Source organism: Homo sapiens, chromosome 22 (genome assembly GCF_000001405.40).
Source record: "Homo sapiens chromosome 22, GRCh38.p14 Primary Assembly".
NCBI lineage: Eukaryota > Metazoa > Chordata > Mammalia > Primates > Hominidae > Homo > Homo sapiens.
In genome coordinates, this window is record NC_000022.11 from 19,939,984 (window position 1) to 19,967,576 (window position 27,593).

The 27,593-nt window shown below is 53.2% G+C and overlaps 3 protein-coding genes and 1 non-coding gene across 15 annotated transcripts in view, besides 18 other annotated features; 2 read left to right on the plus strand and 2 right to left on the minus strand.

Annotated features, from left to right (window-relative positions):
- TXNRD2 (thioredoxin reductase 2) overlaps window positions 1-1,835 on the minus strand; it is a 66,297-nt gene extending 64,462 nt beyond the window's left edge. For all 4 annotated transcript variants that reach the window (NR_147957.2, NM_001352300.2, NM_006440.5 and 1 more), the window contains exon 1: window positions 1,718-1,835. Coding sequence is in view for 3 of the 4 variants with exons in the window: in NM_001352300.2 (NP_001339229.1) it covers window positions 1,718-1,820 (103 nt within the window). In the remaining variant the exon portion in view is untranslated. The remainder of the gene's footprint in view (window positions 1-1,717) is intronic.
- Window positions 413-983: an enhancer, noted in NCBI's record as "H3K4me1 hESC enhancer chr22:19927919-19928489 (GRCh37/hg19 assembly coordinates)". NCBI's record gives its function as "activates a minimal SCP1, AML or CMV promoter by ChIP-STARR-seq in primed H9 embryonic stem cells {active_cell/tissue: H9 hESC(primed)}" and the evidence as "EXISTENCE:reporter gene assay evidence [ECO:0000049][PMID:30033119]".
- Window positions 984-1,553: an enhancer, noted in NCBI's record as "H3K27ac-H3K4me1 hESC enhancer chr22:19928490-19929059 (GRCh37/hg19 assembly coordinates)". NCBI's record gives its function as "activates a minimal SCP1, AML or CMV promoter by ChIP-STARR-seq in primed H9 embryonic stem cells {active_cell/tissue: H9 hESC(primed)}" and the evidence as "EXISTENCE:reporter gene assay evidence [ECO:0000049][PMID:30033119]".
- Window positions 1,607-1,776: a silencer, noted in NCBI's record as "silent region_13467". NCBI's record gives its function as "represses an Ori minimal core promoter by ATAC-STARR-seq in GM12878 lymphoblastoid cells {active_cell/tissue: GM12878}" and the evidence as "EXISTENCE:reporter gene assay evidence [ECO:0000049][PMID:35858748]".
- Window positions 1,789-27,593, plus strand: part of COMT (catechol-O-methyltransferase) — a 28,204-nt gene continuing 2,399 nt past the window's right edge. Inside the window, exons 1-5 of one of the 5 annotated variants that reach the window (NM_001362828.2) lie at window positions 1,789-1,914; window positions 21,216-21,306; window positions 22,250-22,832; window positions 23,583-23,776; window positions 24,185-24,316. In NM_001362828.2, coding sequence (NP_001349757.1) covers window positions 22,544-22,832; window positions 23,583-23,776; window positions 24,185-24,316 — 615 coding nt within the window. In that variant the 5' untranslated portion in view covers window positions 1,789-1,914; window positions 21,216-21,306; window positions 22,250-22,543. Of the gene's footprint in view, window positions 1,915-10,918; window positions 11,070-11,534; window positions 11,672-21,215; window positions 21,307-22,249; window positions 22,833-23,582; window positions 23,777-24,184; window positions 24,317-27,593 lie in introns of those variants that run through there. The other 4 variants (NM_000754.4, NM_001135161.2, NM_001135162.2 and 1 more) reach the window with 4 other exon arrangements.
- Window positions 1,847-1,976: a silencer, noted in NCBI's record as "silent region_13468". NCBI's record gives its function as "represses an Ori minimal core promoter by ATAC-STARR-seq in GM12878 lymphoblastoid cells {active_cell/tissue: GM12878}" and the evidence as "EXISTENCE:reporter gene assay evidence [ECO:0000049][PMID:35858748]".
- Window positions 1,987-2,036: a silencer, noted in NCBI's record as "silent region_13469". NCBI's record gives its function as "represses an Ori minimal core promoter by ATAC-STARR-seq in GM12878 lymphoblastoid cells {active_cell/tissue: GM12878}" and the evidence as "EXISTENCE:reporter gene assay evidence [ECO:0000049][PMID:35858748]".
- Window positions 2,307-2,476: an enhancer, noted in NCBI's record as "active region_18664". NCBI's record gives its function as "activates an Ori minimal core promoter by ATAC-STARR-seq in GM12878 lymphoblastoid cells {active_cell/tissue: GM12878}" and the evidence as "EXISTENCE:reporter gene assay evidence [ECO:0000049][PMID:35858748]".
- Window positions 3,137-3,256: an enhancer, noted in NCBI's record as "active region_18665". NCBI's record gives its function as "activates an Ori minimal core promoter by ATAC-STARR-seq in GM12878 lymphoblastoid cells {active_cell/tissue: GM12878}" and the evidence as "EXISTENCE:reporter gene assay evidence [ECO:0000049][PMID:35858748]".
- Window positions 3,835-4,404: an enhancer, noted in NCBI's record as "H3K27ac-H3K4me1 hESC enhancer chr22:19931341-19931910 (GRCh37/hg19 assembly coordinates)". NCBI's record gives its function as "activates a minimal SCP1, AML or CMV promoter by ChIP-STARR-seq in naive H9 embryonic stem cells {active_cell/tissue: H9 hESC(naive)}" and the evidence as "EXISTENCE:reporter gene assay evidence [ECO:0000049][PMID:30033119]".
- Window positions 4,405-4,973: an enhancer, noted in NCBI's record as "H3K27ac-H3K4me1 hESC enhancer chr22:19931911-19932479 (GRCh37/hg19 assembly coordinates)". NCBI's record gives its function as "activates a minimal SCP1, AML or CMV promoter by ChIP-STARR-seq in naive H9 embryonic stem cells {active_cell/tissue: H9 hESC(naive)}" and the evidence as "EXISTENCE:reporter gene assay evidence [ECO:0000049][PMID:30033119]".
- Window positions 7,763-8,057: an enhancer, noted in NCBI's record as "tiled region #10527; K562 Activating DNase unmatched - State 25:Art, and HepG2 Activating DNase matched - State 5:Enh". NCBI's record gives its function as "activates a minimal TATA promoter and a strong SV40 promoter by Sharpr-MPRA in K562 cells, with weak activation in HepG2 cells {active_cell/tissue: HepG2 | K562}" and the evidence as "EXISTENCE:reporter gene assay evidence [ECO:0000049][PMID:27701403]".
- Window positions 11,663-11,957: an enhancer, noted in NCBI's record as "tiled region #2516; HepG2 Activating DNase matched - State 5:Enh". NCBI's record gives its function as "activates a minimal TATA promoter and a strong SV40 promoter by Sharpr-MPRA in HepG2 cells {active_cell/tissue: HepG2}" and the evidence as "EXISTENCE:reporter gene assay evidence [ECO:0000049][PMID:27701403]".
- Window positions 13,281-13,904: an enhancer, noted in NCBI's record as "H3K4me1 hESC enhancer chr22:19940787-19941410 (GRCh37/hg19 assembly coordinates)". NCBI's record gives its function as "activates a minimal SCP1, AML or CMV promoter by ChIP-STARR-seq in naive H9 embryonic stem cells {active_cell/tissue: H9 hESC(naive)}" and the evidence as "EXISTENCE:reporter gene assay evidence [ECO:0000049][PMID:30033119]".
- Window positions 13,905-14,526: an enhancer, noted in NCBI's record as "H3K4me1 hESC enhancer chr22:19941411-19942032 (GRCh37/hg19 assembly coordinates)". NCBI's record gives its function as "activates a minimal SCP1, AML or CMV promoter by ChIP-STARR-seq in naive H9 embryonic stem cells {active_cell/tissue: H9 hESC(naive)}" and the evidence as "EXISTENCE:reporter gene assay evidence [ECO:0000049][PMID:30033119]".
- Window positions 14,791-15,442: an enhancer, noted in NCBI's record as "H3K27ac-H3K4me1 hESC enhancer chr22:19942297-19942948 (GRCh37/hg19 assembly coordinates)". NCBI's record gives its function as "activates a minimal SCP1, AML or CMV promoter by ChIP-STARR-seq in naive H9 embryonic stem cells {active_cell/tissue: H9 hESC(naive)}" and the evidence as "EXISTENCE:reporter gene assay evidence [ECO:0000049][PMID:30033119]".
- Window positions 15,745-15,912: a silencer, noted in NCBI's record as "fragment chr22:19943251-19943418 (GRCh37/hg19 assembly coordinates)". NCBI's record gives its function as "represses an EF-1alpha promoter that drives an FKBP-Casp9 reporter gene in an ReSE screen in HepG2 liver carcinoma cells {active_cell/tissue: HepG2}" and the evidence as "EXISTENCE:reporter gene assay evidence [ECO:0000049][PMID:32094911]".
- Window positions 22,111-22,826: an enhancer, noted in NCBI's record as "H3K27ac-H3K4me1 hESC enhancer chr22:19949617-19950332 (GRCh37/hg19 assembly coordinates)". NCBI's record gives its function as "activates a minimal SCP1, AML or CMV promoter by ChIP-STARR-seq in naive and primed H9 embryonic stem cells {active_cell/tissue: H9 hESC(naive and primed)}" and the evidence as "EXISTENCE:reporter gene assay evidence [ECO:0000049][PMID:30033119]".
- Window positions 22,827-23,542: an enhancer, noted in NCBI's record as "H3K27ac-H3K4me1 hESC enhancer chr22:19950333-19951048 (GRCh37/hg19 assembly coordinates)". NCBI's record gives its function as "activates a minimal SCP1, AML or CMV promoter by ChIP-STARR-seq in naive and primed H9 embryonic stem cells {active_cell/tissue: H9 hESC(naive and primed)}" and the evidence as "EXISTENCE:reporter gene assay evidence [ECO:0000049][PMID:30033119]".
- Window positions 23,543-24,258: an enhancer, noted in NCBI's record as "H3K27ac-H3K4me1 hESC enhancer chr22:19951049-19951764 (GRCh37/hg19 assembly coordinates)". NCBI's record gives its function as "activates a minimal SCP1, AML or CMV promoter by ChIP-STARR-seq in naive H9 embryonic stem cells {active_cell/tissue: H9 hESC(naive)}" and the evidence as "EXISTENCE:reporter gene assay evidence [ECO:0000049][PMID:30033119]".
- On the plus strand, window positions 23,770-23,851 carry MIR4761 (microRNA 4761). The gene has a single exon (NR_039918.1). It is a non-coding gene; the product is annotated as a microRNA 4761 (primary transcript).
- The window catches only part of ARVCF (ARVCF delta catenin family member), a 51,690-nt gene continuing 49,247 nt past the window's right edge, over window positions 25,151-27,593 (minus strand). For all 5 annotated transcript variants that reach the window (XM_011530179.4, XM_005261242.4, XM_006724243.4 and 2 more), the window contains one exon: window positions 25,151-27,226. In XM_011530179.4, the coding sequence (XP_011528481.1) occupies window positions 26,993-27,226 (234 nt within the window). In that variant the 3' untranslated portion in view covers window positions 25,151-26,992. The remainder of the gene's footprint in view (window positions 27,227-27,593) is intronic.

Genomic DNA, 27,593 nt, shown 5'->3' on the forward strand with positions numbered 1-27,593 from the left:
CTGTAATCCCAGCACTTTGGGAGGCCAAGGCAGGTGGATCATGAGGTCAGGAGATTGAGACCATCCTGGCTAATACAGTGAAATCCCGTCTCTACTAAAAATACAAAAAAAATTAGCCAGGCGTGGTGGCAGATGCCTGTAGTCCCAGCTACTCGGGAGGCTGAGGCAGGAGAATGGCGTGAACCCGGGAGGCGGAGCTTGCAGTGAGCTGAGATCGCACCACTGTACTCCAGCTTGGGCGACAGAGCAAGACACTGTCTCAAAAAAAAAAAAAAAAAAAAAACCCCAAAAAAACAACTCATATGGTTTAGTAACAGACTGGGCACGAAAGGGCTATTTAAAAAACAGTTGCTCCTCTGGCGGAAAGGAATGCCTGGAGACTACTTATTTTATTTCTTACTGGGAGGACCAGGATCATCATCCTATTTTGCATAGAAGGTTCAGTTTGTTCTTTCCCTTAAAATAGGAAGATAAGGGCATTATCCCCCTAAGTCTCGTATGATATTCCCCATTCTGAGTCCAGAATACCTAGAAATTTGGAATTTGGCTATTGCCGTGTCTGGACTGTGAGTATGGGAAGGGGAAGCTTTTCTGTCTGTTGTCCCCACTACCGCCCCTCACATCCGTGATTCTGAACCCCATGATAAATGCCCTTTGAACCTTTTTCCTCCTTTTGATGCCGAATCCCCTTTTATGGGACTCCGCCAGCACGGGTGCATTTAACCTTCCTGAGCTTGCCCACCTGACGCATGCAGCCAAGAAGCTTTGAAAGATGGAGTGCCCTGGCTGAGGGTTCCAGGTCTCAGCAAGGCCACGAGGTGGTGACTGCCTCCCAGAACTCTGTTGGGCCACCCTCCGTCCTGGAGACCCCCAAAACCTCCATAGCACCAACTCTGCCCATTCACACACACAGTCAGCCCTCCCTCCCGAGTCCACCGCGGGCAGAGGGCCAGCCACCATGCCTCCCATAGCCGCCATCCCTGGGAAGGAGCCCTGACCCCGTCCTTACACCCCTCTACACTCACTGCCTGTGGGGAGAGCTGCTCGCTGTCACAAGCATCCAGGGGGCTGGGTCGAGGGGCCCCCTGCATGGTGGGGGACCATGTTGTCGTGCATGGAATGAAACTGGCCACACATAACAGATATGGTGGCGCTCTGGTCGGATCTAGGGGAGTCTGTCCTACAGGATGAGGCTTGAACTGTCCTGAGTGACCAGACACCCAGCCTCTGCTTCGAGTGCTCAGTTATGATTATTGTCCTGATTTAGTTAACTGTTCTTCAGGGGCTCCAGGAGGACGAGTGTGTATCCTCCCATTGCTCTGTGCAGCCTCTAACCTCTAGAGTCTAGGGGTCTGGGGAGAAGTTGGGAAGTCTGGCCAGTGGGGCCGGTGCCTGGTGACCTCGGGAGGTGGGATATCATCATCTTCAGAACTGTAGTTGTTACTGGGATACCAGCTCTGGGAGACCACAGGTGCAGTCAGCACAGCAGGACCTTAGACAAGGCACCCAGCCCCAGTTTCCCCACCTGGGAAGGGGGCTACTTGTGGCTAGAAGCAGCCCGGACTCCTGAGCAAGACTAGACCAAGAGGCCGGTATGTGGACACCCCCGCGTGGGCACCCCCACGGGGACACCCTGGCCACCGCCGCGCGGACACCCTCACGAGGACACCCCGGCCGCGCGGACACCTACCGCGGGGACGCCCCGACCCCATCCTACCTGCTGCGCCCCGCGCCGCGCCCCGCACCCCGCCCGCCACGGCCTGCGTCCGCCACCGGAAGCGCCCTCCTAATCCCCGCAGCGCCACCGCCATTGCCGCCATCGTCGTGGGGCTTCTGGGGCAGCTAGGGCTGCCCGCCGCGCTGCCTGCGCCGGACCGGGGCGGGTCCAGTCCCGGGCGGGCCGTCGCGGGAGAGGTGAGAGCGCTGGCTAGACCGGGGCCGAATGCGGCCGGATTCGGGGCGGGGGCCTTCAGACCTAGGGTGGAACACTGGGATAGGGTGTGGGGAATTCGGACCGCTGTGAAGTGATCTGACGTTGGGTGGGAGTCTCCGGACTTGGGGTGGGGAATCTGGATGGGAACTGGGGAATTCGGACCTTGGGTGGGGATCTTTGGACCGGGGTGGGGTCCCCAGACTCCTTGTGGAAAGCTGAGGTTGAAGATCTGTGCTGTGATGAGGGGCTCCAGATAGCGGTGAGAGATCCCGCTTCAAGACTGGGTTGGGGGTCCAGACCAGGAGGATAAGCCTCTCCCTGGAGTAGGGCTTGACCTGGTGAGGGTGTGGTAGAGTCACAGGGGAGGGTCCCACTTGGTCCTTGGGCTGGGATCAGACTCTCAGAGCTGGAGAGTTGCAGGAGGCCTGGGGGAGGGTCTGTGGAGCCCCAGACTCAGAGGGCCTTGGTGACTTCTCCAACAGGCTCCCTGTTGGAGGCCTTGGGGTACCCCAGGGCCTTTCCCTGCAAGAGAGAGGCTGCTCCACCAGGAAGGGGCCCAGGACTCCCCAGGGTCGGGGGGATGTGTGGTGTGCAGGACCACGTGGGAATGTTAGAGAAAGGGGAAGTCACTCCGGGCCTGCCCTGCTAACAGACCTGCTTTTTGGATTTTTCCAGCCAGGGATTTTTGTGTCCTGTTGCTTTTTATTGTTTAAAGTGACCCTCCAAGCCTGAGGGACCGTAGGAGCTGCCCTGCAGAGCCCAGTGAGACACTAGTTAATGCAGAAAAAACAGATTTTACTTGGTAACTACTGACAACATGAGAAAAAGCTGGCTCCATGCTGATTTGTCTAGATGTGCCTGGAGTTTAAAGGGAGAGTGAGGGAGTGGGAAGGGGTGGGGACTCAGTAGAGTTAGGGAAACAGAAAATCACCAAAACTGGGAAGGGAGGGTTGGCCCCTGTGAAACCAACTGATCTGGGTTTGCCACTGGGGCTTACCGAAGTCAGGCCCCCAACCTCCCACAGAGACTGGGAGACAGGGGCCCCATCCTCAGGTGTTGGCTGGAACACACAGGAAATTCTTGTGGCAGCCTTGAACTTCTCAGGCAGGCACTTTAGAGGGGGCTAGGATCGTTCTGGGAATGTGGCCTTGAGCTGTTAGGAGCTATGTTAGTGTTCGTTCCAGCCTAGATAGGCCAGGGTGAGGCCCAGTGGAGAAGGGGACTCTAAGGAGCCTGGCTGGAGTGTGGGGAGGGAGGGTCTTTGTCAGCACTCCCCCTGTGCAAGAAGAGCAGAGACCTGCTTCTTTCCTCTCAACAGTCCCCGTCCATTTTCTGTTCTGTGTTGTGTTCATAAACTACCAGCGGGACCATCTGTTGAGACTTGGTAGCAAAGGATTTTTGCTGGATGATGCAAGCAGTCAAGCATTTAATGAGGAAACAAAAATAACAGGCCAGGCACAGTGGCTCATGTCTGTAATCCCAGCACTTTTGGAGGCCGAGGAGGATCACTTGAGGCCAGGAGTTTGAAACAAGCCTGGGCAACATAAAGACCCCATCTCTACAAAAAATTTAAAAATTAGCCCGGCGTGGTGGCATGGGCCTATAGTTCCAGCTACTTGGGAGGCTGAGGTGAAAAGATCGTTTGAGCCTGGGAGGCGGAGGCTGCCATGAGCCATGATCTTGCCTCTATACTCCAGCCTGAGCAACAGAGAGCCCCTATCTTTAAAAAAAAAAAATAATAATAAAATAAAAAAATAAAAAGAAAGAAAGAAATAAAAACAAAGATGAATGGAGCTGTTGATAAACCCAGTTTTTGAGCCTACAGGGCAGCAGTTGAGGTTTCTGGCCGTTGGGCCCTAACAAGGCCAGCAGGGGCACTCAGGGACTTCCTGGTGTGTGGTGTGAAGTCTGTGATGATGGCATAGGCATTGGTATCCCAGTTGTGGTTACTTTCTGGAGAGAGCATGTGGCATGCAGGAGCTGGAGGGGGGGTCTTCCTGGGCGGCCTGTGTAGCAGCAGCTCCAGGCACAAAGGCTGCCCCTGGAGAATCTGTTGTGGTTCTGAGTTCTTTCAAGTTTATATCAAGTTTTCCGGCTTCAGTCTGCAGGGCTGTTTTTTTCAGATCCTGGGGGCAAAGGGCAGCTACAAGACCACCTGAGTCCCAATAGGGATTTGAGTTCTTGGTGACACCAAGTCAGGGAGGAGACAAATTAGAAATGTCAGTCTGAAGAGAGTGGTAGGTAGCCAGATACTGAAGGAAAGTAGATGGGAGGATTTGGTAAGGGCTGACGTGTAGGAAGGCAGTGACAGTCCAAGTGACAGGCAGATCATAAAACCTCAAGGATAGGCCGGGCCCGGTGGCTCATGCCTGTAATCCCAAGCACTTCGGGAGGCCGAGGTGGGCAAATCACCCGAGTCCAGAAGTTCGAGACCAGCCTGGCTAACATGGCAAAACCCTGTCTCTACTAAAAATACAAAACATTAGCCGGGCGTGGTGGTGCACTCAGGAGGCTGAGGCGGGATAATCGCTTGAACTGGGAGGTGGGGGGCTGCAGTAAGCCGAGATCGCACCACTGCACTCCAGCCTGGGCAACAAGAGCGAAACTCCATCTCAAAAAAGAATTAGGCCGGGAGCGGTGGCTCACGCCTGTAATCCCAGCACTTTGGGAGGCCGAGGCGGGTGGATCACGAGGTCAGGAGATCGAGACCATCCTGGCTAACACGGTGAAACCCCATCTCTACTAAAAATACAAAATTAGCCAGGCGTGGTGGCGGGCACCTGTAGTCCCAGCTACTTGGGAGGCTGAGGCAGGAGAATGGTGTGAACCCGGGAGGTGGAGCTTGCAATGAGCCGAGATCACACCACTGCACTCCAGCCTGGGCGACACAGCAAGACTGCGTCTCAAAAACAAAACAAAACAAAACAAAACACCTACAAAAGACAGTGAACTAGACTAGGATCTGATAACTCCCAAGGGGGTGTTATATTTCTCCACTGAAGCATAGCATTTCTCTTTACAAACCCTTCCCTTTTGATTGAAGATAATCAAAGTGAGATTATTCTTATTTACCAAATAATTCTGGTCTCATTAAATTTGGCCTGATTATTTACATAAATGCAGCACGAACAGTAATTGACCACACAGGCCTTTTTAAGTTTGCTGAAACTTTTAATAGGGAATCTTAGATTGAGCTTTTTAAAGCCTTTCGAGGTTAGGAAGCCAAGCCAAGAACTTCCAACCAGACTTCACCTGCAGTGTCTATAGATTTGGGTGAATTCCTCTCTTCTCGAGGTCCCTGAAATATCCCAAGGTTCCTGGGCCTTAGAACCTTGGGATATTTGGAAGTGACTTTCCTTACTCACATGTAAGACCAAGAACCCCGTAAGCCACATACCAGGCCAAATTTTTCAAGAGCTCTTTGTAAGCAATGGCTCCACAAAGTCAACCTGAAAGCCATCTGGTCATAGCTGATTCTATGTGCATCATCCTCAAACAGGACATTCCAGTCCAAACCTTGGTAATAGAACCAGTGTTTCCAATTGTGTCCTGTTACAAGGAGAACAGATTCTTATTGAAGTTATTCAATAACTATATTGCCATGAAAATAGAATACTCAATAATAGTTTCTGATTTTTGGAGGGGTCAGGCCGGAAGAAAAAGATAATTGCTTCAATTTTGTTTAGAGAAGTATCATTTACTATAATATTACGAGTCATTGATAGGTTAAGAGAAAAGGGAAAGGTTTCTTTCTTTTTTTCTTTTTTGAGGCAGAGTCTCACTCTGTTCCCCAGGCTGGAGTGCAGTGGCGTGATCTCAGCTCACTGCAAGCTCCGCCTCCTGGGTTTACACCATTCTCCTGCCTCAGCCTCCCGAGTAGCTGGGACTACAGGTGCCTGCCACCACGCCCGGCTAATTTTTTGTGTTTTTAGTAGAGATGGGGTTTCACTGTGTTAGCAAGGATGGTCTCGCTCTCCAGACCTCGTGATCCACCCGCCTCGGCCTCCCAAAGTACTGGGATTACAGGCGTGAGCCACCGTGCCCAGCCGGGGAAAGGTTTCTTTTTTTAATATTCAGAAAATAAAACATAAAGAGCCAACAATATTCTGAACAAAAGTCATAAAAAGACTGTAATCATCCTTCAGCAGTTTACTCAGTTGCATGCAGGTACTGAATTCTTGTTCTGCTTGATCTTGGGCTAGCAGGTACATGAACCCATCTTTTCTCAACCAGTGGAGATCCTGGCTCAGTGCAGTCATGTGATCTCAAAGTTAAGAAATGCTGTCACGCCCAGGTGCAGTGGCTCAGGCCTGTAATCCCAACACTTTGGGAGGCCAACGTGGCTATATCACTTGAAGTCAGGAGTTCGAGACCAGCTTGGCCAACATGGTGAAACCCTGTCTCTACCAAAAAATACAAAAATTAGCCAGTTGTGGTAGCAGACGCCTGTAATCCCAACTACTCGGGAGGCTGAAGTGGGAGAATCGCTTGAACCCGGGACATGGAGGTTGCAGTGAGCCAAGATCACGCCACTGCACTCCAGCCTGGGCAACACAGTGAGACTCCATCTCAAAAAAAGAAATAAAGAAATGCTGTCAGAAGCCTACCCCATGGTACCTGTCATGGGCCTTTTCATTGGTCCCTTTTTGTTGAAGATGAAGCACTTTGCCCTGTAGCTGATTGCAAGAGATTTCAGGAAAGCATCAGAGTAAAACTCTAATGACAAAAGACTTAAAATAGTGTAGTTAAATATCTAATGAGAGATCATTACAAAATCAAACGATTTACAAGGAATGTTGGTTGTTTATGACACATAGCATTTTAAATAATAACCAGAATGATGATTGCTGTTATATGAGGACATGTCATTGGCAGAAGGGTATTCACCAGTTTGTGGGAACTTTATACAATATCTGGAATCCTTATATTAACATTTACCAATATGCATGTAACTCAAGGAAGTTTAAATAGCATTAAAAAAAATTTTTTTTTAGTTTTTTTTTTTTTTTTTTTTTTTGAGACAGAGTCCCACTGTGTTGCTCAGGCTGGAGTGCAGTGGCACGATCTCGGCTCACTGCAACCTCCGCCTCCTGGGCTCAAGCGATTCTCCTGCCTCAGCCCCCCAAGTAGCTGGGATTACAGGTGTGCACCATCACACCCAGCTAATTTTTGTATTTTTAGTAGAGATGGGGTTTCGCCACACTGGCCAGGCTGGTCTTGAACTCCTGACCCCAGGTGACCTGCCCACCTTGGCCTTCCAAAGTGTTGGGATTACAGGCGTGAGTCACCGCGTCCGGCCCTAAATAACATTTTTTATTTGACAGCACCTTGCATGAAATTCTGTAGGGTCCAGCCCTACAGGGTCTGTGGGTTTTTCTCCCCGTGTGCAGAGATGAGAGATCGTAGAAATAAAGACACAAGACAAAGAGATAGAAGAAAAGACAGCTGGGCCCGGGGACCACTACCACCAAGATGCGGAGACCAGTAGTGGCCCCGAATGCCAGGCTGCGCTGTTATTTATTGGATACAAGACAAGGGGGCAGGGTAAGGAGTGTGAGCTATCTCCAGTGACAGGTAAGGTCACATGGGTCACGTGTCCACTGGACGGGGGCCCTTCCCTGTTTGGCAGCCGAGGCGGACAGCGAGAGGAGACAGCTTATGTCATTATTTCTGTATTTCAGAGACCTTTAGTACTTTCACTAATTTTGTTACTGCTAGTTAGAAGGCATAGCCAGGTACAGGGTGGAACATGAAAGCGGACCAGGAGCGTGACTGCTTAAGCACAGCATCACAGGGAGACGGTTAGGCCTCCGGATAACTGTGGGCAAACCTGACACTCCACAAGAGGTGGTTGAGCAGAGTCTTCTCTAACTCCCACAGGGAAAGGGAGACTTCCTTTCCCGGTCTGCTAAGTAACGGGTGCTTTTTCTAGGCACTGACGCAACTGCTAGACCAAGGTCCGCTAAGTAACAGGCGTCTTCCCAGGCGCTGACGTTACCACTAGACCAAGGAGCCCTCTAGTGGCCCTGTCCGGGCATAACAGAAGGCTCACACGCTTGTCTTCTGGTCACTTCTCACCGTGTCCCTTCAGCTCTTATCACTGTATGGCCTGGTTTCTCCTAGGTTATAATTGTAGAGCGAAGATTATTATAATATTGGAATAAAGAGTAATTGCTACAAACTAATGATTAACAATATTCATATATAATCATATCTATGATCTATATCTAATGTAACTATTCTTATTTTATATATTTTCTTTATTATACTGGAACAGCTCGTGCCCTCGGTCTCTTGCCTCGGCACCTGGGCGACTTGCTGCCCACAAAATTCACCATTGAAATAAACCTAATTAGTTTAACATCTCTCTTATAAGGTCACAGGACAGATCCTTTGAGGTCTTCCAGGGGCCCTCCAGGAAATCTCAAGTCAGTCTGAGATCAAGACAATGTCACAGGCCACATGCAGTGGTTCACGCCTATAATCCCAACACTTTGGGAGTCCGAGGAGGGAGGACTCCTTGAGCCCAGGAGTTTGAGACCAGCCTGAGAAACATGCTGAGGCCCTGTCTCTACAAAACAAAAAGTTGAAAAATTAGCTGGGCATGGTGGTACATGTCTGTAGTCCCATGTACTCTGAAGACTGAGGCGGGAGGATCACTTGAGCCCAGGAGTTCAAGGTTGCAGTGAGCTGTAATTGCACCACTGCACTCCAGCCTCAGTAACAGAGTGAGACTCTGTCACTAAAAAAAATTTAGGCTGGGTGCAGCGGCTCACGCCTATAATCCCAGCATTTTGGGAGGTCAAGGTGGACAGATCACCTGAGATCAGGAGTTCAAGACCAGGCTGGCCAACATGGCAAAACCCCACCTGTACTAAAAATACAAAAATTAGCTGGGCGTGGTGCCATGTGCCTGTGGTCCCAGCTACTTGGGAGGCTGAGACAGCAGAATTGCTTAAGCCTGGGAGGCAGAGGTTACAGTGAGCCCAGATCACACCATGGCACTCCAGCCTGGGTAACAGAGCGAGACTCTGTCTCAAAAAAAAAAAAAAAAAAAAAAAAATTTAAAGAAACTTTATACATAAATCCATTCAATGATTATGAGGTCAATTCTAGCCAGCTTTGACCTCATAACATAAAATTTCTTTTCTGCAGACTTTCTTGAGGCCAGGAGTTCAAGACCAGCCTGGGAAACATAGGGATAACTTTCTGTATCCATTCACAGTTGCTTTTGTTTTGAGACAGAATCTCAGTCTGTCACCCAGGATGGAGTGCAGTGGTGAGATCTCAGCTTACTGCAGCCTTGACCTCCTGGGCTCAAGCGATCCTCCTGCCTCACCCTCCCAAGTAGCTGGGACTACAGGCATGTACCACCATGCCAGGCTAATAATTTTTGAGTTTTTTTATAGAAACAGGGTTTCATCATGTTTCCCAGGCTTGTCTCGAATTCCTGGGCCATTCAGGCTTTGTCCCATATTTTTCCTCTTTTTGTAATTTTACTTCAGGACAAAATTACATCCCTTTCTTTAACAAAAACACTCTACATTCTTTGCATACTTTTCATATAAAAACACATCCTATCTTCCTCCCATACTTTGTATAGGAAATTGTTTCCCTCATTCTTATTGTTTCTAGGAGTTTTGTTTTCATATATTGATTATAATTTTTAACCATTAGTAACCGGTATTTTTTTTTTAAAGAGACAGCGTCTTGCTCTTTTGCCCAGGCTGGAGTGCAGTGGCACAATCAGGACTCACTGCACCCTTGAACTCCCGGGCTCAAGTAATTCTCCAACCTCAGCCCCCTAAAGCACTGAGATTACAGGCATGAGTCACCACGCCCGGCCATAACTTGTATTTTACAAGTAAAACTGGGAAGAAGACAATTGGAAATTGTCTGTCATTTACCAGTTTGTTGGCAAATTTTATGAATATACCATCTTATAATCTCTAGAGGTATATCCTTTTTATAGTACAATGTTTTTAAGTGCCAAGTACATGTTTATTAACAGACCAGAATACCTTTAGCCAGTCTGTACCATATAAAAATAAGAAGCCAAAAAGTACAAAAAGTTACGCTTAATAATGAATGTTTCAGCACTTTCTTCTCTTCAGGTATTATTTAGATATTCAATGAATGTCTATTATTTAACTTCACTTAGTATGACTCTGAGGTTGAAAGTTACTGAAAACATCTTGTAAGCTTTTTTAGGCCAATATATTATCAAACGCAATTAACAAAACACAACTCACTAGTTTATATAAGAGCTAGTTCTCACTTTTTTTTTTACTCTATTTTATATATTTTTTCTTTTCTTTTCTTTTCTTTTTTTTTTTTTTTTTTTTTTCTGTAGAGACAAGGTCTTGCTGTGTTGCCCAGGCTGGTCTTGAACTCCTAGCCTCAAGTGATCCACTTACCTTGGCCTCCCAAAGTGCTGGGATTACAGGTGTGAGCCACCACCCAGCCCTATTTTATATTTTTATCTGAACTGTGTTTCTGGCAAATTGGACAAGTTAAGGGTCACTTGCTCCATGTGAGGGGAAGGCTTTCTACCTGTATTTGTGGATAAGACCTTTACGACTTGTTTTGCCCTGATGGATGACTACATGTTTCCAGTGAGCTCAGCTGGTTGCTTTTGTGGGTCCCTGAGGCACTGCGAGCCCCTGATGGGGCAGGAAGCCTAAAGTTCCAGGGACCGTGGGGAGTTGAGGGGCTGGAGGGGGAAGAGAGAGGCCTGCAGCGGGGATCCACAGGTGGAGGAGGCCAGACTTGAAGGGGGTGTCTCCTTCAAGAGAAAGTAGGGAAGTATGGAGGTGATAGGAAGGGAGAGGCCTGAGAGGAGCTAGTTTGGGGAGATCTCAAGTATCCCAAAGGAGCCACTGATGTTCCAAATTATCCTTGGTAAAGTCACATCAACAAGGAAGGAAGCAGACAGAGGCGCACTTGTTCCTTGCAGTTTTGTTTTGATGTGCTGATTAAAGTAGCGCAGAGGGCATGATCAGCAGGGCTCCAGTAAGACGCTCCCACGGGAGGAGCAAGAACACAGAACAGAGGGGGCAAGACAGCTCCACCAGGAGTCAGGAGTGAATCCCCTCTGGGAACGAGGCACTAGGAAGAAGAACTTCCAGCCCAGGAGGTAGGTAGCGTTCAGAAGAAGCCTGGGGCGGGCGCGGTGGCGCACGCCTGTAATCCCAGCACTTTGGGAGGCCGAGGCGGGCGAATCACGAGGTCAGGAGATCAAGACCATCCTGGCTAACACGGTGAAACCCCATCTCTACTAAAAATACAAAAAATTAGCCGGGCGTTGTGGTGGGCACCTATAGTCCCAGCTACTTGGGAGGCTGAGGCAGGAGAATGGCATGAACCCGGGGGACGGAGCTTGCAATGAGCCGAGATTATGCCACTGCACTCCAGCCTGGGCGACAGAGCAAGACTCTGTCCCAAAAAAAAAAAAAAAAAAAGCCTGGGACTCTTAGCGCCTCAGAGCCTTACTCAGAATCATAAAATCATTAGAAGCAATGTCTGTCCTCACTGCTGCATCCGATATTCTTCCGGACCACTGGATCACAAATCAAACCATGTGACTCCCGCATGAGCAGGCAGAGTGGAGATAACACGGATCGCTGTGTACACTGTGTGCTCCGGTTGTTGCATCCGAGGGTTGATCGGATGGTGGTTCCCATCCAGATCCAAGTCCTGGCCCCTGATCACAGAGAAACACAGCTGGACATTAAAGTGGTGAGGACGGAAATTATAATATTTGGTGACCAGTGACAGGAGGGGAGAGAGCCGAGCTCCGCTCCGAGTTGTGCAAAGAAGTGGGGAGTGGGGAGGAAGAACAGTGGGGACTCAGTGGAGTGAGGAAAGTGGAAAATTACCAAAAGCAGGAAGGGAGGGTTAGCCTTGGGAAACCAATCTGGGTTTGCCACGGGGGCTTACTGAAGTCAGGCCCCCAGTCCCACAGAGGCTGGGAGACAGGGGCCCCATCTTCAGGTGTTGGCCAGAACACAGGAAATTCTCTTGGTAGCCATGACTTTCTCAGGCAGGCGCTTTGAAGGGGGCTGGGATCATTTTAGGAATGTGGCCTTGAGCTGTTAGAAGCCATGTGCAGTATGGCTTACACCTGTAATCCCAGCACTTTGGGAGGCTGAGGCTGGAGAATCACTTGAGGCCAGGAGTTTAAGACCAGCCTGGGCAACATAGCAAGACGCTGTCTCTACAAAAATAATTTTTAAAAAATTAGCCAGGCACTGCGGCATGCCCCTGTGTAGTCCCAGTTACTCAGGAGGCTGAAGCAGGAGGACTGCTGGAGCCCAAGAGTTCAAGGTTGCAGCAAGCTGATTGCACCACTGCACTCCAGCCTGGGCGGCAGAGGTGATCACGCCACTGCACTCCCGCCTGGGCGACAGAGCAAGACCCTGTCTTTAAAAACAAAAAGGCCAGGCAGGTGCGGTGGCTCATGCCTGTAATCCCAGCACTTTGGGAGGCCAAGGCGGGCGGATCATGAGGTCAGGAGATCGAGACCATCCTGGCTAACATGGTGAAACCCCGTCTCTACCAAAAACACAAAAAAGTTAGCCGGGCGTGGTGGCGGGCGCCTGTAGTCCCAGCTACTGGGAGGCTGAGGCAGGAGAATGCCATGAACCCGGGGGATGGAGCTTGCAGTGAGCCGAGATTGCGCCACTGCACTCTAGCCTGGGAGACAGAGCAAGACTCCGTCTCAAAACAAAACAAAACAACAACAAAAAAAAAACAGCCGAGCGCAGTGGCTCACGCCTGTAATCCCAGCACTTTGGGAGGCCGAGGTGGGCAGATCACAAGGTCAGGAGTTCAAGACCAGCCTGACCAACATGGTGAAACCTTGTCTCTACTAAAAATACAAAAATTAGCTAGGCGTGGTGGTGTGAGCCTATAATCCCAGCTACTCAGGAGGCTGAGGCAGGAGAATCGCTTGAACCCAGGAGGCGGAGGTTGCAGTGAGCCGAGATCGCGCCACTGCACTCCAGTCTGTGTGACAGAGTGACAGCCCGTCTCAAAAAATAAATAAATAAATAAATAAATAAATAAATAAATAAATAAATAAATAAATAAAATGAAGCAGCAGCAGCTTTGTTAGTGTTTGTTCAAGGCCTGATAGGCCAAGGTGAGGCTCAGCCGAGAAACGTGCTCAGAGGAGCCTGGCCGGAGTGTGATGGGGGAGTCTTTGTCCAGGCTGCTGCCACGGTGGGCCTCAGGACTCATGGCCTGGGCGCTGGGGGTGGGGCTGCCACTCAGCCTTGAGGAGAGCAATGAGGAGGTCAGATTCCACTCACATCCAGTGCGGTCTGGATGCAGGCCTGGCCCAGAGCCTGGTCCAGATGCTGGGGCTTTGTTTTTTTGTTGTTGTTTTTTTGAGACAGAGTCTCGCTCTGTTGCCCAGGCTGGAGTGCAGTGGCACTATCTCCACTCACTGCAACAACCTCCACCTCCACGGTTCAAGCGATTCTCCTGCCTCAGCCTCCCGAGTAGCTGGGACTACAGGCACCCGCCACCATGCCCGGCTCATTTTTTGCATTTTTAGTGGAAACAGAGTTTCACCATGTTGGCCAGGATGGTCTCCAACTCCAGACCTTGTGATCTGCCTGCCTCAGCCTCCCAAAGTGCTGGGATTACAGGCGTGAGCCACTGCACCCAGCCGGCTTTGTTTACAGTACTCAGCAGCTGCCAAAATAGTCCCCATTCCCAGGCAGGGCAGGCTCCCGGGCTCAGTCCAGCGGGGCAGATGGCCAGCCTGCACGTCACCCCACTAGGCATGTCCAGGCCCTTTCTGCCCCTCCCTAAAGGCACCCCTGTCCTTTCTGTCCCCTCCACACTGAGCCAAGCCAGCCTCCACTCTTGCCCCAGGCCTGCCCTCTGCTGGGAGCCGGGACACTGAGCTCCTGCCACATGAGCAGGTTGACCTGCAGGGGGCCTCCAAGCAGGTGCCAAGGCAGAATCGGATGTGACCAGGAGAACACCCTTGAAGGATAAAGCGAATGTGCGACCACCATGCAGGTCTGGCCCATGGAAGGGAGGGGAGGGGGCCCCGACGGGGCCACAGTAAAGGAGTGGAGGGGCCCCACAGGCAGGGATGGCCCAGCTGGCCCCCTGGGGCTGTGAATCTGCAGGTGCAGTGCAGCCTCTTGCCTCTCTCAGCCCAGCCCTTGCATCTGCCTCTTGGTGTGTCTGTGAAGACAAAGTCACCGTGGTCCCTGCAGCACCTGGCTTGAAGCAGGTGTGCAGTCCGTGTGAAAGCCTTCCCTTTAGCTATTAGGTATTGAGTCAAAAAAAAAAAAAGCCTTCCCCTGAGCCTGGGGGCCTGGCCCCACTGAGGATACCAGGCGGGGGAGGCTACAGGAGGCTGCCCTCTGCCTGGCCATCTGACCTTCCATTCTGACCCCTTCCCTTCCACACCAGCCCCTTTCCCTATGTAGGGTGCAGTCTTTGTTGCAACTGCTCACCTCTGCCATGGTCGGATGAGAGCAGCCACGGACAATGTCTGTGCAATTGTGCGTTTTTTGTTTTGTTTTGTTTTGAGATGGAGTCCCACTCTTGTTGCCCAGGCTGGAGTGTAATGGCACCATCTCGGCTCACTGCAACCTCCACCTCCCGAGTTCTAGCGATTCTCCTGCCTCAGCCTCCCAAGTAGCTGGGATTACAGGCATGCATCACCATGTCTGGCTAATTGTGTATTTTTAATAGAGACTGGGGTTTCACCATGTTGGTCAGGCTGTTCTTGAACTCCTGACCTCAGGTGATCCACCCGCCTCAGCCTCCCAAAATGCTGGGATTACAGACGTGAGCCACCGTGCCTGGTTGATTGTGCGTTCTGATAAAGCTTCATTTACAGAAATAGCAGGTAGGCCCCTCGCAGGGTGCCCAGAGCAGGTGCACTGTCTCACCTCTTCTCAGGTGTCACCGGGGTGAGAGGCTAGTCCTCTGCCTCCTCCTTCCTCTCTGCAGGTTGGAGAAATGACAGCTTCTTGTACTGGGGGTTATGAGACAGTGGCAGGAGGGGGACACTCCCAGAGTGCTGCCAGAAAGAGGCGAGGCCCCATCTGGATTTGATGGCATTTTTATTGTGGTGTTGTTTTAGAGACAGTGTCTGTCGCCCAGGATGGACGACATGGTGCAATCATGGCTCACTCCAGCCTCCAACTCCTGGGCCCAAGCAATCCTCCCACTTCAGCCTCCTGAGTAGCTGCAGCTATAGGCACACCACCATGCCTGGCTCAATGGGTATTTTGTGGCCATTAAACTTCTGGTCATTCCTTTAGATTCCCAGAGGCTGGATGGAGGTGAGTGGCCAGCCCCTGGGTCCAGAGATGAGCGCGGGGCCTGGCTGCAGCCTGTGGGGTCTCCCAGGCTGGCCTCCAGGTGTCCTCTCAGCCTGTCCACAGGCGCTGCCCAAGCGTGTGGCCTACCTGGTGCTGCCTGGCCTGTCTCTACGCACCTGTACTGGCTCTCCCTGGATTACTGGATCGCAGTCGAATCCCCTGCCAGAATCCTGGTCCCCCTTTATCACACCGGATCAGCCCCAAAGGGCAGGGCTTCTTGCAGCAGTTCCAGCCTTTGCTGGGGGTTTCCAGCCCTGTTGAGCAAGCCCCAGGTAGGGCCCTCTGCAGCCCCCGTGGGGGACCTGTGTGCCGAGCAGAGCTGCCCCGTGTGTAAACGCTTAGAACTGGCCTCCTTCCTGCCATCTGTGTCCTGTTTGTCATCACGCCTGTGGCTCTATGCTTGTCTCCCCGACTGGGCCACCAGCCCTGTGAGGGCAGGATGAGGCACGTCCAAGCCACAGTGGCTCTCAGTGTGCAGGGTGCTGTTAGCATTGGTTCTGTGTTCTGGAATAGTGAGAACAGTGTGCCCCAAATGGCCAGTGGCCTTTCCGAGGGTCACTGCAGCCGCATGTTGGCCCTCTGTGGAGAACGGAGGATGCACAGCCATTTCAGAGCACAACCTGAGGTCTCCTGAGCTTGCTGTGCAGCCCAGTCTTTCTCTCCGTGGCCCCTGGTAGCTGTCTTTCTCCCAGGAGGAGGAGAAAGACACCTTCCTGAGCAGGAGGATGTGGGTGAATAGAGACCAAAGTGTCAATCACTCTTCTGACAGAGGTGATAGCAGAATGAAAAACTGATGGACCCCAGATCTTTGCAAAGAGAACAAAGTCAGTTTCTAGTTATCTTTCTTTCTTTTTTTTCTTTTTTTCTTTTTTTTTTTTTTTTTTTTTTTTTGAGATGGAGTCTCGCTCTGCTGCCCAGGCTGGAGTGCAGTGGTGTGATCTCAGCTCACTGCAACCGCCTCCCGGGTTCAAGTGATTCTCCTGCCTCAGCCTCCTGAGTAACCAGGACTACAGGCACACACCACCACGCCCAGCTAATTTTTGTTATTTTTAGCAGAGACAGGGTTTCACCATGTTGGCCAGGATGGTCTTGAGCTCTCTTTTTTTTTTTTTTTTTTTTTTTTGAGACGGAGTCTCGCTCTGTCACCCAGGCTGGAGTGCAATGGAGTGATCTTAGCTCCCTGCAACCTCTGCCTCCCAGGTTCAGGCTATTCTCCTGCCTCAGCCTCCTGAGTAGCTGGGACTAACAGGTGCTTGCCACCAAGCCTGGCTAATTTTTGTATTTTTAGTAGAGACAGGGTTTCACCATATTGGCCAGGCTGATCTCGAAATCCTGACCTTGTGGTCTGCCCGCCTTGGCCTCCCAAAGTGCTGGGATTACAGGCGTAAGCCACCACACCAGGCCCATTTTCTAGTTATCTTTTACGGATTTTTTAAAATGAGCCTAGAAACCAGGTCATATAATTAGTTTATTTTTTAATTTCTTATAGAGACAGGGTCTTACTATGTTGCCCAGAGTGGTCCTGAACGCCTGGGCTCAAGTGATCCTCCTGCCTCAGCCTCCCAAAGTATTGGGATTACAGGTGTGGCCACTGTTCCAGCCATAGTTCATATTTTAAAGGATTTTTAAGAGTCTCATTTCACTGATGTTACTTGCAGTATATTTATGGAAAACATTCCTGTCTTTTTTTTTTTTTTGAGACGGAGTCTCACTCTGTTACCCAGGCTGGAGTGCAGTGGCGTGATCTCGGCTCACTGCAAGCTCCGCCTCTGGGGTTCACGCCATTCTCCTGCCTCAGCCTCCCGAGTAGCTGGGACTACAGGTGCCTGCCACCACACCCGGCCAATTTTTTGTATTTTTAGTAGAGACAGGGTTTCACTGTGTTAGCCAGGATGGTCTCGATCTCCTGACCTCGTGATCTGCCCGCCCCGGCCTCCCAAAGTGCTGGGATTACAGGCATGAGCCACCGCGCCCGGCCAGCATTCCTGTCTTTTAAAGAAAGATGAGACCAGATGCAGTGGTGTGCACCTGTGGTCCCAGCTACTCAGGAGGATGCCTTGAGCCTGGGAGTTCAAGGCTGCAGCTGCAGTGAGCCTTGATCACGCCACTGCACTCCAGCCTGGGCAATTGAACAGGACCCTGTCTCTAAAGAAATAAAATAAAGGCAGATGAATGTCATCTAGGGTGTGTCCAATGTGAGAGAGAATACTGACCAGGTGACAGAGGTGATGGACTCTCTAGCTCTGCAGCAGACTGCTGGGCAGAGAAGCTTGGGCAGGCCTGGCACTGAGGCCCAGAAGCTTCATGCTCTTTAGAGCCAGAGGTGTCAAGCCCAGCTGCCTGTGTCCTGGCCGCACTGTGAGGCACTGAGGATGCCCTCACACGTGCATCTGCATGTGGCGTGCATGTGGCAAGCATGTGCAGGTGCTGTGTGGGCACGATCATGCCTGCCCTCTACTGTGCTGGAGAGGTAAGACCATCAGCCGTTTCACAGAGGAGGGAATGTGGACCTCACGGGGGTCTCATGAGCTTGCGAGCCGATGGCCAGGCAGCCGGTGCAGAAGGTTCATCCATTTTGATGAACCGTGAATTCATCTGTACTTTATTCATTTTAATAACTGAATCATACCTCATTGTATGGCTCTACCATGTTTTATTATCCATTCAGGTGCTAACGGATGGAAGGGTTGTTTCTACCTGTTGGCCATTGTGGATGATGTTGCTATGCATATTGGGGTACGAGTATCTGGTTTAGTCCCTGTTTTCAATTCTTGGTATACACCTAGGAGTAGAATTGCTGGGTCATATGGTAGTTCTATTTTAACTTTTTTTTATTTTTAATTTTTGTGGGTTTTTAAGAATTTTTTAATATTTGTGGGTGCATAGCATGTTTAATTTTTTTTTTTTTTTTGAGACGGGGTCTTGCTCTGTTGCCCAGGCTGGAGTGCAGTGGCAGGATCACAGCCCTGTGCAGCCTCAACCTCCTGGGCTCAGGTGATCCTCCCGCCTCAGCCTCCCAAGTATCTGGGACTACACGTGCGGACCACCACGCCTGGCTAATTTTTAAGTTTTTTGTAGAGATGGGGTCTTGCCATGTTTCCCAGACTGGTATGGGACTCCTGGGCTCAAGCAATCCTCCCATCCCAACCTCCCAAAGTGCTGGAATTACAGTCATGAGCCACCAGGTCTGACCACATGTTTAACTTTTTGAAGAACTACCAAACTGTTTTCCACGGCATTCACACCAGCAATGCAAGAGGGTTCCCATTTCATCACATCCTTGCTAACACTTGTTATTTTCCTTAAAAAAAAAAAAAAAAAAAAGCCAGCTGGGCACGGTGGCTCATGCATGTAATCCCAGCACTTTGGAAGGCCAAGGGGGTGGAGCACTTGAGCTCAGGAGACTAGCCTGGGCAAAATATCGAGACCCCACCTCCACTCCATCTCTACCAAAAAAAAAAAAAAAAAAAAGCTGGGTGTGCGGTGGTGCACATCTGTCGTCCCAGCTACTTGGGGGGGCTGAGGCAGGAGGATCCCTTGAGCCCAGGAGGTCGAGACTGCAGTGAGCTGCGACCGCGCCACTGCACTCCAGGCTGAGCGACAGAGTGAGACCCTGTTTCAAAAAAACAAAAAAAAAGCACATTTCAAACATACACAAAAGCAGAGAGAATTCCCCTCGGTCCTCCGGCCTGCACCCCACCGCCCCCCACCACAGGGGCATTCAAAACTGTCTTTTTGCCTCTCTGTAAGGTAAGGGGGGACTCTTGACGCTCCCCAGACCACACAGCCAAAGTAGGGCGATCGGATCATAGGGGGTCCCGAGTCGGACACTGAGCTGGCGTGCCCACTCTCGAGTCCTGGGACCCCAAACTAAAGGAGCTGTTCCTTTTCCCCATGGAGGGCTGACGGGGCAAAATCCCAGGGCTGGGAACATCCGAGCAGCTTTGAGTAGCACAGGTGGGTTTCTACGTGGCTTTCTTTAAAGGGAGGCCTGATTCTCGGCTTTTCAGGACCCGCCCTCCATTTTCTCACTTGCCTGCTCTTTCGTCCTGCGAAACTGGGCAGTGGCCGGTGACAGCGCAGGGTCAGCCCTCGGATGGCCAGGTGGGCGTGATCCCACCCTCCTCCGTGGCTGGGTGGGCGTGGTCCCAAAGTCAATTGGATGTGGTCCCGCGTCCCTCCCGGCCCAGTGGGCGGGGCCTCCCCTTCTGGGGCCTCCCATCCCACACCAGCGAGCAGAGAGGAGGGTGGGCGGGGAGGCCCTACGGGGCTGGGGCGGGGCGGAGCGGAGGTGGTTAGCTGTCGGGAGGTGGGGTGGGCAGGGGCCAGGGCTCTGTTGGTGGCCCGGGGCAGCCAGTCCCTCTGCTCAGGGCTTCAGTTCACACTCACAAGGGAATCCCAGCGCTCTTCTCCTCTGGCGGTTGCTGGAGGGCCTTGTGAGGTGGCCGTGGGCACTGTAGCCCCCAGGCACTGCATTGTGGCCTGGGCGTGTTGGCCTTTGAGCCTTTGGCCTTGAGCACTTCCCCATCCCCCATGGCTCTTGGCCGTTGGGGCCCAGTTGGCCGCAGAGCCTTTGGCCTTGAGCACTTCCCCAGCCCCCATGGCTCTTGGCCATTGGACCCCAGTTGGCCACAGAGCCGCGGGCAGGTGGGACAGGCGGGCACTGGGTGCCTCCTTGCACCAGCCAGGCCCAGCCTGCAGAGTGGAGTGGGCCGGTCCCTCCTGCCAGGCAAAGGAAGGGGGCTTCGGGCCCCTCCCTGCTGTGGCCTCCTCCCCTCTGCTGCCTCCCACTAGGCCCTGGGAGACACTGCCTGCAGATTTATGAACAGACAGACCTAGAGATTAGAGATTCAAAAGCCAAATTCTTACACAATTCAAGTATTAACGCAGATTTGGATTTATAATTTGGGACTCCAAGGTCTACCAAGTAATTTGCTGTTTCAGAATAGCCCTTTTAATTTGGGGTATATATTTCTAACACTGTTTTTTAAATATGGAGAGTAAACAAAATGGCCCATTATCTGACCACACAAATACTAGTAGTCATTATAGATAAACCATAGCAGATAAATAATAGTAAACAAAGCAACAGGCTGTGTCATAGGAAATCCCCACCATGAAGAAAGGAGCAAGGTGGAAAGTTCTGGCTGCTTCAGGTCTGCATGGTCCCTCTCCACCATGGTTCCCCCTGTCATCTTCCTGCCAGAATAAGGACACTGTCCTTAGGGAAGCACCATCTCTTGTTTTTTCCCCACGAGCCCTGTGGGTCATGGCACGTCCTGCCCCGCTGGGAAACACAGTGGGCCACGGGTTTCCCTGCAGGCCTGGGACCCTTCCCAAGGGTAGCAGCAGAAGGCAGCACGATTCCCACTCCTGCAGCTGTGGACAGGGGCACCCCCACTGTCACTGAGCCCTGCACCGGGTTCCATCACCTGCTCGGGGCTCTGGCCTTTGGCCTTTTCCTGTGAGCTGCATGTTGGCCACTGTGACCTATCTGTCTCATCATCTTTTTCTTACTGGTTTGTGTATGTTCTTGGTAAACTAGCCCTTGGTCTTACACATCATTTCCAAGGTACTAAGGACTCTTCAGGGGAAATACAACTTGAGCAGAGTGGTTCCCTCCTCTTGTGGTTCACAAGGTGCAGGTGCACACACACATAGCCCACAGGGCAGTGTGGACAGGGACCAGGAGACTGCCCCTGGGGTCCCTGGCTGGGGGACACTAGTAGGGATGTCCCTTGGCCTCTCTGAGGCCTTCTGCTGTCTCTTCTGAGGCCGGAAAGGCGAAGCACTGCCCTCGCCCTGCTAGGGAAGGCTCAGGCCAGGCTGGCCCTATCCGGGGAAGGGGCTCAGGTATCTGGACCTTGGTCATCGCCAGGTTAGGGTTTATGTTGATGATTATCCAAAGGCAAAATTGATTTCCACAGAAATAACATCTGCTTTGCTGCCGAGCTCAGAGGAGACCCCAGACCCCTCCCGCAGCCAGAGGGCTGGAGCCTGCTCAGAGGTGCTTTGAAGGTGAGTTGGCCAACGGAAGCCGGGGCAGTGCCAGGGTGGGTACAGATTCCGGCCCGGTGCATGGGCACAGGTCTGCTGAGCACATGTCCACTCTGCCTGTGTAAATAGGCCACATGGCCTGAAATCCCCTAGAAGCCTGGTGTCCGCATGACCTCCCCCTAGGGCGGAGCCTCTGCTTCCCTGTTCTCTTCTGCTCTGTCCTCTGGTGCCCTGAGGCTGGCCTCCAGGGGTGTCCCCTCTGTGGCCCTAGGCCTGCCTCCTTGCCTGGGTGTGCCTTTCTAAAATGGAGCGTCCAGCAGAGAGTGGGATCTCCTATGCCACTGGGAGCCCAGGGCCCCATCCCAGAAAGACCTCTGAGTGAGCACAGGGGCCCTAGAAGAAGTTTCCTTGTGTCCTTCCCGTTTTAGGGTCTGTGACCTGAACCCCTGGGCTTCTGCCTCAGGCCTCCTGTGCTCTGCTCTCTGCCTGCTGGGTCCCCTCACCAGGCTTCTGTCTGGTTCCCAGGCTACCTGCCTGGAGGGTCACACCAGGAGGATTTCAAACAGGTTTCAAGTGGGGTCACTTGCCATCACTGTGCCCCACGAGGTACACTGTTGTGGGCGGCAGGGCTGGCCTTTCTCATCTGGGACATGCCACGTTGCTGTTCCCAAGGGGAGTGGTGAGTGGGTCTGTCCTGGTGTGCCTGGCCTGGGGACTGCCAGTGTCCTTACTTGGACACTCAATGAAAAGGCCACATGAATCCCTGGGGCGTCCAGAGCATGGGTGACCAGCACGGGCTCACCACATGAGGCCAAGGGGCTGCACCATACAGCCTCTCCTTTGGCCACCCGTGACTACCCCCAACTCCGGGCCATGGGGCTTCCCTACCCCTGGGTGTCCTCTAAGCCAGCTGGGAGACAACAGCCTGAGTCCGTGTCTGCTTCTGTATTTTGTGTGGTTTTAGAGGATCCCTGGGCTGCCTGGGGAAGCACCCAGGGCCAGGGAGTGTGACCCTGCAGGCTCCACACAGGACTGCCAGAGGCACACACCTGCTCTGTCTACCCGAGGGCACCAGAGGGCACGAGAAGGCTGGCTCCCTGGCGCTGACACGTCAGGCAACTGAGGCACAAGGCTGGCATTTCTGAACCTTGCCCCTCTGCAAACACAAGGGGGCGATGGTGGCACTCCAAGCAAAGGGGCGTGTGGGTGCTGCAGGAGGAGCACAGAGCACTGGCGCCCCTCCCCTCCCGCCCTGCAGATGCCGGAGGCCCCGCCTCTGCTGTTGGCAGCTGTGTTGCTGGGCCTGGTGCTGCTGGTGGTGCTGCTGCTGCTTCTGAGGCACTGGGGCTGGGGCCTGTGCCTTATCGGCTGGAACGAGTTCATCCTGCAGCCCATCCACAACCTGCTCATGGGTGACACCAAGGAGCAGCGCATCCTGAACCACGTGCTGCAGCATGCGGAGCCCGGGAACGCACAGAGCGTGCTGGAGGCCATTGACACCTACTGCGAGCAGAAGGAGTGGGCCATGAACGTGGGCGACAAGAAAGGTGGGGTCCGGGCCAGCAGGTGCTCAGCTCTGGGACAGGGACCCAGGACCAGGCATCAAAGCCCTTACAGGAGAAGCTGTTATCACCCCATTTCCAGGGGGCTGGGAACCCTGGGATATGCCCAGATAGGGCTGGGGGGCTCCTCTGGAGTCCCAGGGTGCCAGGGTCCCTGATGACCCCTGCAGGCCCTGCTGCCTGCTGCCCCAGGACAACAGGCCCCCACACTCACAGGGTCTGACGGTGGTGCAGTTCCCCTTGAACTCTGTTCTGGCCACCATGGGACCTGCCTGGGGACCAGTCAGACAGGTTCTCCTGGGCCCGCCTCCCGCTTGAACTTCAGCCTGGGGCACAGGATGTGTTACCGGGCTCACGGAGTGACTCAGGGAACTAGTGCCGCCCCAGGGCCCCAAGGTGGGCGGTTCGGTGATTCAGAGAGGGCAGCTCTGTGTTAGGACACACTGGGGCCAGCCAGGAAGGGTGGAAAAGATAGGGACCAGCGTGAGCATAGAGGCTAAGGGACCATGGGAGCTCCAAGCGCGCTCACAGTGGGGACCAGGTCCTGGGGGCTGGGGACACCAGGGAGGTGAAATACCCCTCCAGCGGGTAGGGAGGGTGGGCAGAGGAGGGCCAGCGGCCAGGCATTTGGGAGGGGCTCCTGCTCTTTGGGAGAGGTGGGGGGCCGTGCCTGGGGATCCAAGTTCCCCTCTCTCCACCTGTGCTCACCTCTCCTCCGTCCCCAACCCTGCACAGGCAAGATCGTGGACGCCGTGATTCAGGAGCACCAGCCCTCCGTGCTGCTGGAGCTGGGGGCCTACTGTGGCTACTCAGCTGTGCGCATGGCCCGCCTGCTGTCACCAGGGGCGAGGCTCATCACCATCGAGATCAACCCCGACTGTGCCGCCATCACCCAGCGGATGGTGGATTTCGCTGGCGTGAAGGACAAGGTGTGCATGCCTGACCCGTTGTCAGACCTGGAAAAAGGGCCGGCTGTGGGCAGGGAGGGCATGCGCACTTTGTCCTCCCCACCAGGTGTTCACACCACGTTCACTGAAAACCCACTATCACCAGGCCCCTCAGTGCTTCCCAGCCTGGGGCTGAGGAAAGACCCCCCCAGCAGCTCAGTGAGGGTCTCACAGCTCTGGGTAAACTGCCAAGGTGGCACCAGGAGGGGCAGGGACAGAGTGGGGCCTTGTCATCCCAGAACCCTAAAGAAAACTGATGAATGCTTGTATGGGTGTGTAAAGATGGCCTCCTGTCTGTGTGGGCGTGGGCACTGACAGGCGCTGTTGTATAGGTGTGTAGGGATGGCCTCCTGTCTGTGAGGACGTGGGCACTGACAGGCGCTGTTCCAGGTCACCCTTGTGGTTGGAGCGTCCCAGGACATCATCCCCCAGCTGAAGAAGAAGTATGATGTGGACACACTGGACATGGTCTTCCTCGACCACTGGAAGGACCGGTACCTGCCGGACACGCTTCTCTTGGAGGTGAGCCCCAACCAGGATGGCATCCGTGCCAGCTGCTGCCCAGAGCCCATTCAGTCAGCCTCAGCCTCTCCAAAGAGCCAGGCATTCCAGTAGAGCCCTGTGTGGACACAGCTCGCTCTGGAGGCACCACCTGAGGTCTGGGAGTGTGGGGGACTGAGGAGGCCCTGTGGTGGGTGGAGATGGGTGGGGAGCTGGGCCAGGGGCCTGGCTGGGTGGCCTGTTGGGAACTGGGGAGCCAGCTGCCTGTGCAGGTGCAAAATGGGTGGCAGAAGTGGGGTGCACACCCCAGACCAGACACCAGGGCAGAAACGGCACAGGACCAAGGAGATGGGGTGGGGAAGGGCCGCTCTGGGCCCAGCCTGCTCTCCCCCAAGCAAGCCACTGCTCGTGCAAAGAAAGCATGTGTCTCCTGCAGATCTTCCTCCTGAGGCCCCATCTTGTGCATTCCCCCAACCCAGCCCCACTGGCGAGGACCCTGAGTGCCCCGAGTGAGGCTAGACAGCGGGTGGGGCTGTCCTCGCTTCCCTGGGGGGCGTGGGGCACTGGTGGCCCTTCACAGACTGATGCTTAAGGAGCCTCACATCAGTGACACACTGCCCCATCCCTCCCTGGTGGTCAGCGACACTGAGTGGCTCTGTGATCCTCCACTGGGCTTGGGACACCCACCCTCACGGCCTCCCCACCTGGTGCTCGCTCACCTGCAGCTCTCCCAGAAACTGGACACTGCTGTTAGCAGCCGGACTAGGAGCACGAGGGGCACAGCCCCCATGCCTGGCTAGGTAGGGCCGCTGGACCCTGGACACGGATTGGAAGGAACCAGCACTAGCAGAAGCCTGAGGTGTGAAAGGGCAGAGAATGTTCCAGGAACAATGGGAGTCAGGGCACACAGGACTTTGGGCAGGTGAGGATGAGGTTAGACCTGTCTTCTGGAGCTGGGCTCAGGGGCTCATGCCTGTAACCCTTGCACTTTGGGAGGCTACGGCAGGAGGAGCGCTTGAGGCCAGGAGAGTTCGAGACCAGCCTGGGCAACATGGCAAAAGAAAAAATATATATATATATTTTAGATGGAGTCTTGCTCTGTCACCAGGCTGGAGTGCAGTGGCACGATCACGGCTCACTGCAACCTCCACCTCTTGGGTTCAAGCGATTACCCTGCCTTAGCCTCCTGAGTAGCTGGGACTACAGGCGCGCGCTGCCACACCCGGCTAGTTTTTTGTAGTTTAGTAGAGATGGGGTTTCACCACATTGGCCAGGATGGTCTCAATATCCTGACTTCGTGATCCGCCCGCCTCGGCCTCCCAAAGTGCTGGGATTACAGGCGTGAGCCACTGCGTCCGGCCGTATTCCAGCTTTCAAAACAACAAAAAACAACAAAAACTTTTCTGGAAAGATCCCTGTCAGCCTTGTGGAGTGTGGAGAGGGCTGTGGGGAGGGCATTTCAGATGCCCTGAACTCACGAGGAGGCACTGAACCCTGGCCGTGGAGAGGGAGGACCTGTAGTGGCCAAGGGGGTGGGCATTGGGAGGGTGGGAGGGAGACCTACAGGCCAAGACAGGGTAGCTGGAGGGGGGCTCACCCCTGACAAAGGAGCATGATGCTGGCAATTGGGTATTGATGGCAGAGAGCTGGCACTCAGCCAGATGGGCTTCACTTGGGCAGGAAAGACACCCACAGCTGGGCCTGCGTTACTGCGGCCGAGTTTCAGCAGCTGTGATGTGGGTGCTAATTACAGGGGCCTGCCTTCATAGAAAAGTAGCAAACATTGCAGTTTAGTAACTAGGAAACTAATAGTTTTCTCAGTGCTGCTTGCGCAAAGCTGGTAATTATCTCAAAAGAAGCAAAGTCATGAAGTGGGAAGTCATGAATTGGGAATGGGTGTCCTTGTTAAACGCACATCTGCACACTCAGGGCTGGGGCCCTGTGCCCCCTTGTGGAGGGTTAGGGGACAACCTGGCTCTTGTGAGGGTCTAGCCATCCCCTCAGTGGGTTCTGTGAGCATCGGAGGCACGAGGGGTGAGGGGCTCAGGAGCAGGTTGCAATTCAAAATCAAGGGCTGCTTTGAGGAGGCCTCTCCACCGGGCTGCTGTAGTCACCAAGTCCAGCCCATGCCCAAAGGAAGAGGAATGAGTTCCCCCTTAAAAAAAAAAAAAAAAAAAGAAAAAGACAGAGTCTTGCTCTGTGCCCAGGCTGGAGTGCAGTGATGACATCATAGCTCACTGTAGCCTCAAACTCCTGAGCTCCAGTGATCCTCCCACCTCAGCCTCCTGAGTAGCTAGGACTAAAGGCATGCACCACTACACCTGGCTAATTTAAAAATTTTTTGTAGAAATGGGGTCTCCCTATGTTGCCCAGACTGGTCTCAAACTCCTGGCCTCAAGCGATCCTCTTGCCTCAACCTCCCAAAGTGCTGGGAGTACAGGTGTGTGCTTGGTCTGAGGCTCCAACTTTTTGTTGTTGTTTCTCGAGACAGTCTCTCGCTCTGTCGCCCAGGCTGGAGTGCAGTGGCGCGATCTTGGCTCCCTGCAACCTCTGTGAGGCTCCAACTCTTGAAGGGAGGAGAGTCTAAGGAGGGTGGGCCAGATGAAAACCACCTCAGCATAGTGTCACCTGCTCCTCTGACACTGTCGCTTCTCCACGGCATTAGATTTTCAGTCCTGCTCAGACGCTGATGCATGTTTAGCCAGTTCTCCAGGTGGTCTGAGTAGCTGGTAGGAGGCTTGCAGTGTCGGGCGACAGGCAGGACAGGTGCTGCCTTCTTTCCCCTCTTGACCAGTTTCGTAAAGGAGTGGGCCCCTGGCAGCCTCCAAAGGTGACCCATGCTCCTTTCTGCCCTTCCCTCCTTCTTTCCTGTTTAACTCGTGCAGGTGCAGTGGTCTGGTGTCTTTCAGTCCGCTGACGTCTTCTGTATCCCTGATGACCAGATTGGGCTCCTGAGTCCCCTGGCGCAACCCGAGAAGTCCAGGAGCCCAGGCCCCTCACTCATGCATTCCCTGGCCCAGACTGGAAGGCAGCCGCCCTGCTCAAGGCCTAGGCCATTGTCCTCCTCCCGGGTGGCGCTTTGTTCTACGTCTTTTCAGCTGACATTGCTAGGACATTTTTTTTTTTTTCTAAATGAAAACACATCATGATTCATGGTGGTACTTCCTGCTCAACTCCGGACCTTGGGGCTGTCCCCTGACCTCACTGACCTTGCAGCCGTGTGGTGTCCATACTGTCACATGAAAGCCCCCTGCTTTCTCTGCAGCATACAGGCTGGAAACGACCGCCACCCACCACC